Here is a 12,398-nt window from a genome sequence, read left to right as displayed (position 1 = left end):
AGCGCTAGGATTACAGATGTGAGCCACCACGCCCAACTCTTATTGTGATTTTTAACTTCCTTGGATTGAATTTCAACATTCTCCTGAATCTCAGTGATTTTCATTCCTGTCCATAATCTGAGTTCTGTTTCTGTCATTTCAGCCATCTCAGCCCAGTTAAGAAAACTTGCTGAAGAACTAGTGCAGTTGTTTGGAGGAAAGAAGATATGGTGACTTTTTAAGTTGTCAGAGTTCTAGCACTGATTCTTTCTCATCTTTCTGGGCTGATATTTCTTCAGTCCTTGAAGTTGCTCAACTTTGGATGAGTTTTCTGGGTTTTTTAAAATCCTATTTGATGATCTTGGAGTTTGTGGTGTAAGGTGGATTCAGTTGACTGGCTTCCTTACTGGAAGATATTAGGGGATCAAGGCTCAGCTCAGGACTCCTGTACTGCATGCTCTAACTCTGGGAGCCTGGTATTAGGCCCTGGATTTGATCTCTGGCTCCTCAAGGTTAGGAACCTGCTGTGCTGGAGGGGCTAAGGTGCTCTTGGACTGCTGGTCACAACATTCTGATGGGTGGTGCCAGCTAAAGCACTTTGTAAGGCGGTGGCAGCAGGATCCATTCTTGTTTACATGTGCCAGCAGCAGTGGTAGTGGCAGTGTCACAGGGTGCGTGCTTGCATGCTTGTTGGCTGCAGCAGGGGGCTACCCAGGGCCAGGGTGCTGGCCTCCACGTGGGCCTTCCCAACAGTAGTGGTGGCAATAAGGCTCAGGGGGAGTGGGGACCCCCCCAGCAACTGTGCACACATTCACATCAGTGCAGTGGTGGTGTTAGCACAAGGGCAGGGTGCTGGTGGGTGTAGGACTGTGTGCACCCTTTGTGCTCATTCACATGAGTGGTAGTGGCCACTCTGGGCTGGGGGCAGGTCCACTGTTCTCCTTGCCTGATTTCCCACTAGCAGCTCCAGCGCAGAGTGAAGTGCTGGCAAGGGTGGGGCTAGAGGGCTCCATGACTGCCAATGTGCCCATGACAATGGTGGTATGGCGAGAGGAAGGAGGGCGGGGTGCATTCGCACTTGCAGCAGTGGCTTGGCAGGGTGCACATGCACCCACACACTGGCAGGGAAGGGAAAGGTAGGGCCACCCACACATGTGTGCTGGGAAAGCAATATAGGGGGTGGCCTTGGGCGAGTGTCTGTAGGCAAGGTGGCATGAAGGAGGCTGCAGTGGGGGCGGGGCGCAGGTAGGCTGGTTCCTGTCCACTGGGGCCACTCTACTGGAGTACTCTGCTGGTCGGGGACACAGTCCACCAGGGCAGGAACTATGATGTGGGACCCCAGGAGGTATCTGGGGGCTGCATTGCAAGCAGGCATGGCCAGGCTGGGGCTCCAGAAGACACCAGCAGACTGAGGGGTGCTCAGATCAGACTGGCTTCTTCTCATGGGCAAGATCGCCCTGCAGCACACAGAGCAGACAGTTTTCCTAGGGTTAAAGTCTCCTACAGGAGCAAGTCAAGCCTAGTGGGGCAGGCATCTCTGGACGTCCTCCACTACCAAATACTGTGGGCTCCACCATGGCTGGAGTTCTGCCCTTACAACTTCTCTAAGCAGCTTTCCCTGCCAACTCAAGAGTCTGTGGTGGTTGAGGGGTCTCCTCCAGTAGGGATTCAAGAGGCCTGTGGTGAAAGCTGGTTGCTCCTTGCCAGTTAACTCACCCCCTCCGCAGGAATTGTTGGGGGCTAGGAATAGTCCCAGTGCATGGCAGCTCTGTGTGGGGTTCTCAGCTTCCTCCCTCTCCAGCCCAGCTTCTGTGTCTTCCCTCCAACTGTTCTCAATGCCTTCCCTCTGAAGATCTGCTAGGAGTGTGCCAGTCTTCCCAATGTCTAGTCTCTTGGAGAGAGATGTTCCTTCCAACTGCATCTATGTGGGAGGAACGCGGGAGGAACATCCCCCACTGAGGGAGCGGGACATCGGGAAGACTGGCACACTCCTAGTAGATCTTTTTAAATTCTCAGCATTTATTAGCATTTTAAGGATGCCTTCTGCCTTCATTTTATCTTAAACAAAAATATTTCAATTGTTTATCTTTAACCAATGCTCTGTTTACCATAAGCATAAATTCTCACATGACTGTGACTAAATTAATGAAGCCTAAGGGCATTCTCTTTTTGTATTTTCATCAACTTCTGTTGGGGCATAAACTGGTACAACCTTTCTATTTAGCAGTTTGGCAATACATATCAATAGCTCCAAAAAGTTACACCTTTGACCTAATGATTTCACTCCTAAGAATCTCAATGAAATTATAAGTAACAAGGAAAGAGGTTTGTTTGAAAAGATGTTTCACACAAAAGTATTTATAATAAGAAACACTAGGGAGGCCAAGGAGGGTGGATCATCTGAGGTCAGGAGTTCGAGACCAGCCTGACCAACATGGTGAAACCCCGTTTCTACTAAAAATACAAAAATTAGCTGGGAGTGGTGGCAGGCACCTGCAATCTCAGCTACTTGGGAGGCTGAGGCAGGAGAATCACTTGAACCCAGGAGGCGGAGGTTACAGTGAGCTGAAGTCGCACCATTACACTCCAGCCTAGGCAACAAGAGCAAAACTCTGTCTCAAAAAAAAAGAAAAAAAAAAAAGAAAGAAAGAAAGAAAGAAAGAAAAAAACCCACTGCAAACAACCTTTATGTGTCAATTTAATAAAGATCACTCTTTATAAAAGTGATCTTTACATAGAGTTTTAATAACCTAGTAACCTGCTTATGGTATTAAAGTTAAGTGTAATAAAAGCAGGATGCAAAATTGTGGATAAATGTGGTCTAGAACAGGCAAAAATAAAATACATAACAAAATATAGCAAAATATTAGCAGTGACTGAATCTGGGTGTGGAGATATGTTATTCTTGCATCTTTACAGTTATTTACTGATTGTAGCAATAAGACATTCAACAAAGGTACTCATCTCACCCTCTTCTACTTTGATGCTCTCAGTAATGTTTCACAATTGTTGACATAATCAAATATTAAAAATTCTTTTCTCTGAGTCATGTCAACAAGGAATGACATCAATAATGTCTTAGCAAACAAGGAAGCCAATAATCCAGTGTCATGATTAAAAAGCTGAAAACCTTGACCATAAAAGAACCTTTGCATTGGCCGAGTGCGGTGGCTCATGCCTGTAATCCCAGCACTTTGGGAGTCCGAGGAGGGCGAATCACAAGGTCAGGAGATCGAGACCATGCTGGCTAACACAGTGAAACCCCATCTCTACTAAAAATACAAAAAATTAGTGGGATGTGGTGGCATGCGCCTGTGGTCACAGCTACTCGGGAGGCTGAGGCAGGAGAATCACTTGAACCCAGGAGGCGGAAGTTGCAGTGAGCTGAGATCGTGCCACTGCACTCCAGACTGGGCGACAGAGTGAGACTCCATCTCAAAAAAATAAATAAATAAAATAAAATAAAATAAAAAAAGAACCTTTGCATTATAACTTAAAGAATCTCTCAATGTACATATTTCCATATCAGCATGTGCTCAGACGGTGTGTTTTGAGAGATTTGTGTCTTAAATGGCCTCCTGGATTTCTGACCTAACTTTCCTGTCCTTTTCGGAGCTGCTGAAGAGGATAAACTTTAAAATGAAACACACATACCTCCCTAATTATGTTTGCTATTACAACGTGACTTGTGAAAACTTTGGGGAAGTATATTGTAATAGACCAGCTAGCTATTGTACTTGAAGTATATAATTTGTAATTAGCAAATATGTTCTGAACTAACTGAGTAAACCACTTCTTTGCATATTCAAAGAAAGATCCCTTTTAAGGCGACTGAGTGCTAGTTTCCATGGAAGATCTCATTGAGGGGAGCCTGGAGGTCTCAGGATCTCTCATGAGGTCTCATGCTGGAGGCATGAAGATCTCAAGACTGTAAACAGTCACTGGCAACTCTTCACCTGATTTTGCTTCAACCTCCAAGCATCTGACCTTTATTATGAATATTCATTCATACCATTGTCTCAATATTGGAATGCCCCATCATTCTTTGCCAATATCTCTGCTTACATCTTGTGTTTCCAGTGAACAGAAAGCATGAACAAGAAAATGCACATGGAAACATGAAAATGTTTCCTCATTCTTTGCACACTCTGGCATGTCTTTCCATTGTTTTGTCTACTCTTGGAGAGCATCTGAACTGTAGGAGTCTTAGGAGGCCACTAGAAATTGGCTTCAACTGCATAGTAACTAGTTAGGCTTTGCTGTGCTTCACAGTCAGCCTAGAATGTTCTTGGGGCAGAGTGGTCCCATTGAATGACCAAGGCTGAAATGGCCACATTGTTAGCAACAACTTCTTCTCTGCCAATTTGTCATTTTTTACCACTTACTGGAGTCATGACAAATGTATCTGAGTCTCCCCCACCAGAAATAGAAGCCGCAATGTGAGTCACCCAGCCAAGCCTGTGCAATAGACATTAATTTATATGTCTTAAACAGTACTTGCCACATGTCTTCAAAAAAAATCCACTATTCAGTTCTTATCTGGAAAACTACAGAAATAGAAGTTTTGTTTCCTGTTATTGCAGGGCTCGTGGAGTTGGAGAAATGCTCTTGATTTCCTTTCATAAAGTTTTCTTTCTGAAACAATCAGTACTGTAGTAAACACTGACCCAAAAAAGAGGGTTCATTTCATGAATTTCCAGTAATGCCTGTGCTCAGAGTATTGTTTTTGTCATAACAGATATGAAAGTTTAATGATTAATGTCCCAGAGATATTTCATTTGTTTCAATTGCTGATACATTCACCAAAGATTTCCCATATCCAGGGGGCTGCTATGTTACAGGGGAAGTAAGTGGGCAGAGCCACAGTTTCTGATCCCACTCACTCCAAGCTGAAATTAATCAGTTTAGAAATGACATAACTAAATTTTATTGCAATGGGAGGTTAATCCTCAGGTACGAACTTCTGACAGTCTTAAACACTGAGGAATTTTAGTCTTTCCCTGCTGTTTTTCATCTTGGTAGGGATTATGACCTCTGCGTCATTCTATGATTTCCTTGGGACTCAGTCTGAGCTTTCTCTTTTGGTCTCTTGAGTCTCTAAAAAAGTCTTATTAATCCTAATCCAAAACTCAGGCCCCAGATTATATTTTAGGCCTAATTTGCTCTTAGTGTCTCTTAGTTGACTTGGCAGGGTTTCATGGTTCTACTAGATTTCAAATCTGTTGAGGAGCTGCAAAGGCTAAACCTCCATCTTGACTGACACCATCTGGATTTCAAGCTTCCTCAGTTCCAATTATTCTTCTTCCTCTGCCCAGGCTTAATGCTGAGATTTTTTAATGAGTGCTTCAACAAAGCCCTGCCCCTCTGCATTCAGCTAATTTCCAGTTCTCCTGAGAGCCAGTCTATGTCTTTCTCCATGGTTTCACCAAAATCTTTTCTTTTACTTTTAATATTGCTTCCATGGTCACATTTGCATCCAAATGTGACTTTCTTACACTGTGGTTAATATGTGTCAGCAATGCAGCTCAAAGGACAAGAAAACATTAAAGACAACAGCCATTTTACTGGGAAAAAAATCCTACACATTTCTTCCCTTCAGTTCTCATGTTTACAATGTGGAACATTCCTTCCACTGCTAACATTCTAATTTTCATATCACAATTAGCTTGTCTTGTCCACAGGTGCTGATATTCTGAAGCCGATAAAGTCCATCTTGCTCTTGCTCATCTTACATGTCATTTCTAGAATCTTGGGCCCTGACCTTTCTTCCAGGGAGCCCCTGTCTTGATAACTGGCTCAGTAATACAATGTTTCTGGGAGTAGGGTCTTCCCTGGACCTCATGAAAACTGCCTGAACACTGCCAAGCCCACAATATGGGTCTGGGTCCTTTTCACAGCTCCACATCCCAGGCACAACACCCTGATGGCCAGGCTGGAACTCTCTCCCTCAACATCATTCCCTTTTGCAGAAGTGTACTGCCAGCTGGCTGGGACTCCTTCACATCACCTATGGCCGTCTCTGCCCACCTGACACTTGGGCTTACCCAGGGGCATGTTCAGTCTTCAGAGGCGGACTCTCTGCCTTCAGTCCGAGTGCCAACCGAGTCCTGATTTGTAAAAGTTCTGTCTTGGCTATGCTATTTACGTACAGAATGTGATATTAGCCAAATTTCTTTACCTCTTGCATCTTGGTTTTCCCTTCTATGTAAAATGTAGGCTGTGCTGAGTGCTGAAAGGTCTCCGTTAGGGATGATGATTCAGATGTGTGTAAGTTCTACCAGAATCTGTGGCCTGGAACCAAGGTCATGCCTTTATAGATAGAGGAACCTATATCTCCAGGTACAAGGGCACAGTGGCATAAAATTCTCCCACTGATGAGCCATGGCCCCACAACTTCCATCATTAATCTCTCTGGGGTAAGGCTATGGTACCCAAATACTCATCTTTAGCAAGTGCTGCTTTGGATAAAGCATTAAATGATCTCTGGCTAATTTAGGACATTTCAGTGAGTTTTCAAAACACGATGTAATTTTTTTAATTTAAGAGAGTTTCTTGTAATATGAAACTAAACCCTTTTCAAATATTTTGGTATTAAAATATCTTCTCTTTTATAATGCATTCATGGTATTAAATGGTAGTTTTGTTGTGGCTTTTTAAGGTCCTTAACTTGGCAAAATAAAATGGTTAAAAAACCCCAATTTTTTCCTTAATCTTCCCTCCTTTTTTCTTCCTCTCCTCCCTTTCCTTCCTCAGCATCTCTGAAGCCAGCACTGCTACCCTGATCCTCCTCCTCCCTTTTCTTCTTCTTCTTCCTCCTCCTCTTCCTCTTCTTCTTCCTCTTGTTCTCTTTCTCTCTCTCTCTCCCCACCCCCAGCCCTTTCTTTCTCTCTCCTGTACAAATTCCAAAGTTTGGAAGCCATAAGATTGAGGTCTGATTATTCTTAAAATGTCAGTAGTATCTTACCTTGTTACAAATAATGCTCATTTTAGTTGATATTAGTCATTGATTTCCCTGAAGGTCTTTCGGGTTTAAAGCATAGGGTAGGTCATTTTGGGAGAGAGTGAGGGGTAGAATGTTCATGCCATTGTTTAGCTGTGGGACATCAGGGTCAAATGGCTTGGGAAGTGTAAGTGCTCTCATGGACAGTGTTAGAAAGGAAAAGAAAACAGGACCACAAAAATAAGAGATAAAAACCCCAAACCCAAATATAACCGAGTCCACAGTGTCACTCAGGACCAGATCACCCAGTAAAAGTGCAGTGAAATTGCTTGAAATGGAGTGTGTTTAAAATCTAATCCCCAGCTCCACTTTCCAATTGACATTAAGATTTATGCAAGCTTCCTGTGGGATGCTCTACTTCTTGGAGCACCAAGACACTTTGGGTCTCTTTCAATTAATGCCTCATCAAGGTGTTTCCACATATGCAGAGGACATATTTTTTCTTGTGTGTCTGATAGATATTGCCTTAGAAAACAAACTCTCCCTGAATCTTCAATGATACTTTTCAGTCCAAGTGATCCCTAAGTCCCCACTAGCCTTAGGAATGAACACTTGATTCAATTCTGGCCACCCAGCTTGCTGGCCACTAAGATTGATTTAGGCATGGACATATGATTCAGACCAGCCTAATCAGAGCCCTTTCTTGGCCCTTGCCAGAGCTATTGGAAGAGATGGTCCTTCTTTCTTTGAGATCACAAGTTCGGAGATCTATGTCGGCTCAGGGTTGCTGGGGACCTGCCTGTGAATACAGGAGAATAGAGGCATACACTGCTGAAGACCGCCTTCAAATCCGAGGGTACAATCACGTGTAGACTTCCAAAACATTCTTCTTCTGTTTGCTCTTGTTATTTTGGCTTAAGCTGGATTGATTTAGGTTTCTGTCATTTGCATCCAAAAGTCTCCAGGAATCTACAGTATTTAGTATGAGAGTCTTTCCTGTGAGGGCCTTCTTGCCTTAGGACAGTTGATCTGAGGTCCCTGGGATTCCTGGAGCATTCTTGACCAGCTTGCTTCTGTCTGCATCTTCAGGATACTAACCTTCTTGAAATCCCATCAGGAAAAAAGGCTGGGGAATGAAGTGGAAAGAAACAGCTCTCTTTCCAGGGACGCTTTCCATCTTGGTTGGCATCTGGTTTAACTAGGAAGGAGGGCCTTGCTAGGCCAGTATCTCAGAGGACATGTTAAAAAAAATTGGCCCTGTGGAACCCTCATGACAAAGACTCAGAATGGACTGTTAATTTTTTCTTCTGCTTCTCTCTGGAATTATTTATATTTCACTAAGAAATGACAGCTGAGCTATTCTCTTCTAAGTGCCAAATCCTCCACTGAAATGTGCCAAGCCAGCTCACTGGACATTTCACTCAGAAGGCCAAGAAGCCATCGTGGGAGAAAAGACCCTGTTCTAACAGAATTGAAAGCTGGAGCAGTGCTTTTCCCACTGACTGTTGTCTTTCAGTAAACAGAGAGGAGGGAAGTAGACCACAGATGACTTGCCTGCTAGGGAGCTGGAAGACATTGTTGCTGCCTGCCTGAATGCATTCTGGTGGATCTTTATTGGCTGTTTCATCTTGGAAAGAGTAAGTCTTAACCACAATAAAATTTTGTCCCACATCAAGGATTTCTTGAATGCTTTATCCAAGAAAAAAAAAAAGACAACAAGGAGAGAAAGGAACAAACAAAAAACACCCTGTAGGAAAAGGTGAACCGTAGGGCCTAACAGTCTGAATATTTTGTCTCGGTGTCAACCCCCAACATATGGTAATTTTCAATGACTGCCAGACGAAATGACGAACTTGGAGGTAGAAGGAAAGTTGTTTATTCATGTTAGCAATGTGTAGAAACCTGTTTACAGAAATTTTTTAAAGAAGGGTATTGGCTGTTTCAGCCAATACTTGGGTAGGAAAGCTACCATAATCCTGAAATCTAAAGCACAAACACAAATGCACAATCAAAATTAAACTTTACAATAAAATGTATAAATATACTTCCAAAGAGACTTAGCATTCTATTCACTCATACAAGGAAACTTTTGCTTGTATCTAAAATTATTTAGGATCTGGCCAACAATGTCACAATAAGAAGTTAGGAAGATAAAAATGAAAAAAAAAAAAGTAGAATTCTTAACAGCATGGCAAAGAGAGTGTTTTAAAATTAATATTAGGAAATGTATTATCTAAAATTTAAAAGCATAAAAGCATAATCCTTAAAATATCATACTGATTCACTCTGCTGCTAATTCCTAACATATATATATATCCATAATAGTAATGAATTAAAAGTAATAATTGTAGATCTAGATTAATTTGGACTCAGGTATATTTTTTATTGGATCTCCCAGGGCCAACTTTAACCTTCTGAATTGCATCCTAAGTAAATAGGACCAAGACTGAAATATCACACCTGAGCCTTGACAATCCAAACCTTCCTAGTAAAAGTTTGACTTTGGTATGTACATATCTTTGTTTCCCAGGGTTCAATTTCAACAGTATGGCCGATATCTTGCCAGTCTTCTTTCTTCCAGGCTAATTTTCATGAAGCTTGCTTACAATGAGAAGAGTGCTTTCTGCTGCAAGTCCTAAGAAGAGAGTGATGATGACAGGGTTGTATCTTCTCATCATCAAGCCACCACCCGGAGAGGGGAAAATAGTGAATCCAGACATTGTGCTTCCCTCCTCAGAATTCTCCTTGCATTGCATTTTTAAAAAATCTGGGAATCAGTAACCATTCCTCTCCCCAACATCCGTCCTCTTTAAACAACAACTGTGATTCAAGCTAACAATCTGTAAAGATGAAAATTGGAGGTTATTGAGGATTGATCCTAAAAAATATTTTTTTCTTTCAACTCTCAGAGGAGAGCTGTATGTTGTCTCCCTGCTTGTTTAACTGCTTTCTCCCTTTTGCCACGGAATTTGCAATATCTGTATGAAATATAGATTTTTTTCAATTATAAATATCGTTATGCATCTGAATCTTCAAACGTTGCTGCCCTTGACTGACTCACACACACCAGTGTTCTGCCTCTGGCTATGAAAGCTCTTCTACTTACGCCAAAGCCAAGAATGCAAGTAGAGAAATAGGAAAGAAGAATCCAGAAGCCTCATGTTACCCCCAAGATTGCTGACAGATTTTTGTTTGTTCGTTTGGTATGTATATGCAGATGTAGTTGTCTTTAACTTTATCATTGATTTCCATCGTTATTACAGTGTTGGGTGAGAGAACCTGTTTATGTTACCTGCGACATTATGAGAAATGCAGATGTAGGAAAATAAACGTATTTGGCTTAGTTTCACAAAGCAAATTTACCATGGCACATGCCTCAGCTAAACCTGTTTTCAGACTCTTCAAGTTCTTTTTTTCTGTCTTCTTTTTTTCTGTCTGTTCATCAAGAACAGACTCATGTGCCCCTTTCGGCCCGGGATTTGTAGTAGAATTCGATGAGGAAAGAAAGTTGATATAATTATGCATCGTTATCAAAATTATAGTCAATAAAACCTTTCAAGTAAGTGGGTAGTTAATTGAGATCTAGAAGGCATTTGGGCTTTCTGGCTTCACTGGCCAGCTTGCAGTCACCTGAGTGCACAGAAAACTGCTTGTTTTCTGGAATATTTTCATGGTTGTGAAAATTGATAATGTATCACTGTTAGGTCTGATTTTGTTTCCTGTCCAAAGAGGAAAGGTCATCCTCCTCCTTATTAAATTTTGAAAAATAAATAACCACAGCAGTATCTCAACAGACTCAATGTGTTTATTTTACACTACAAGAATGTGAAATAATTGGACAGTATGTCACAGGGGGAAGAAAACTAGGAGAGCAGCTTGCCGGGTTTAATAAATTAACTTTGGCTCTATTTGCTGAAAAGATGATTATTGACAGTTGCGTATCTTGTTTATGAGCACACACCTTAAACTTGATCAGGAGGAAAGAGAAAATACTCAAAATTCTTGCTGATGAAAGAGCTTTTCCCGGCTTAGGGCAATTGCTTCAAAGAAAAAGTACAAAGGTTTGAACTTCCCACCCATGTGTTATTGGACAGGGAAAAAGGAAACATTTCATAGAGATAAGCTACCGTTTTGAATATTGAAGGAATTTAAAAGCAAAAATATCAGTATTGACACAATTACAGATACCGGTCTTCTTTAGAAAACATGCACCACTTTTTTTCTTTGTGGCTTAAAGAAAAAATTAACTTCGTGAATACCAGTCATCTACATGCATTAAATATAAGACAGGAAAACTTCTCTCTGCTCTTATCGCAAGTTAAGAATATTTTCTTTTAAATGCGACTTACCTTTTAAGATGAGTGAGGCTGAGTAAGTAAGGAAATGTTAAGAGGTGACTTTAAAAGAAACTTAACCATGCAATCTCTTATAGGTGACTCAACCTGTGATGGAAGTTAATTGCTATTATTAATTATAATTATTATTTTAAGTCTATGTTTTGAGGAGCTTCCAGAACTTTCTAACTCTGACAGCACCTGTCAGTAGGGAGGTAATGGGAAGGAGCATGTACCCATGGTATGAAATGCTTCTGCTGCTTAAGTCACAAAGTCACAGGGGGAACCGGAAGTACCCACAATTTCTCCCCAAGAAGCATGCACTTCAGCGGTGAATACAGACTTAGTCACAGAAGAGAGGTGAGGTCAGCGAACGACAGCAGAAACAGGAATCCTCCAGATACCAGACCTATTACCCAGAAGGTGGTTTTCTGCCAAAAATATCAGCTTGTAGACTGCTTATCTGAAAGGAGAGCTGCTGCCCATAGGTGACATATGGCTTGAGGACCAAACTGGAAAGTGAAACCACTGCTTTAAGAAAAAGAGCCCAAGAACCCACGAGATGCTCTCCTCAGAGGAAGAAGCTTCTTGATTTCAGTCCAAATCCATAAAACACATGAGAATCTTGAATATGTTCTTATCCAAATCGGTCATTATTGATCATCAACTGTAGTCCTAACTGCTGTACAATACCATCTATTGCTTTTATATCTGAAGTTCTGCACATCTAACAAATTTTTTCCATTAAAAGACTGCTGTCATTCGAAGCATTTTATAATTTATGAAGCACTTTCACCAAAATAAATCTGTTCCTTTCTCAACCTTCCTTAAAAATCAAGTGACCTGAAGTTAGAGTTAGGGAATAGGCCTAGATCTAAGACCTGAGAGTTTGGCCCTTTCCAAAAAATGTCATATAGCCCAATGGCACGATAAGAAGAACAACAAAAACTGTAACAGTAATAATAGCTGCCACTTGGTACTTAGACCAGAGAAAGAAATTTCCTACAAACCTTACAAGCAAAATCCCATTTTGCAGAGGTGGAAAGTGTTGTTCACATATTCGTGTAGCTCTCCTAAGGTCTTGGATCCTAAAGAATGGCAAAGCTCAGAGAGTAAACCAGGTCATCTGTATCTAATTTGTTCCT

At 41.6% G+C, this 12,398-nt stretch overlaps 3 annotated features.

Annotated features, from left to right (window-relative positions):
* Positions 691-1,190: an enhancer, noted in NCBI's record as "H3K4me1 hESC enhancer chr6:12494607-12495106 (GRCh37/hg19 assembly coordinates)". NCBI's record gives its function as "activates a minimal SCP1, AML or CMV promoter by ChIP-STARR-seq in naive H9 embryonic stem cells {active_cell/tissue: H9 hESC(naive)}" and the evidence as "EXISTENCE:reporter gene assay evidence [ECO:0000049][PMID:30033119]".
* Positions 10,911-12,110: an enhancer, noted in NCBI's record as "P300/CBP strongly-dependent group 1 enhancer chr6:12483687-12484886 (GRCh37/hg19 assembly coordinates)". NCBI's record gives its function as "activates an origin of replication core promoter dependent on BRD2, BRD4, P300/CBP, MED14 and CDK7 cofactors, with strong dependence on P300/CBP, by STARR-seq in HCT116 cells {active_cell/tissue: HCT116}" and the evidence as "EXISTENCE:reporter gene assay evidence [ECO:0000049][PMID:35650434]".
* Positions 11,792-11,871: an enhancer, noted in NCBI's record as "active region_24018". NCBI's record gives its function as "activates an Ori minimal core promoter by ATAC-STARR-seq in GM12878 lymphoblastoid cells {active_cell/tissue: GM12878}" and the evidence as "EXISTENCE:reporter gene assay evidence [ECO:0000049][PMID:35858748]".

Source organism: Homo sapiens, chromosome 6 (assembly GCF_000001405.40).
Source record: "Homo sapiens chromosome 6, GRCh38.p14 Primary Assembly".
NCBI lineage: Eukaryota > Metazoa > Chordata > Mammalia > Primates > Hominidae > Homo > Homo sapiens.
The sequence above is the reverse complement of the archived record's forward strand: the minus strand, read 5'-3'. Positions and strand labels throughout refer to the sequence as shown.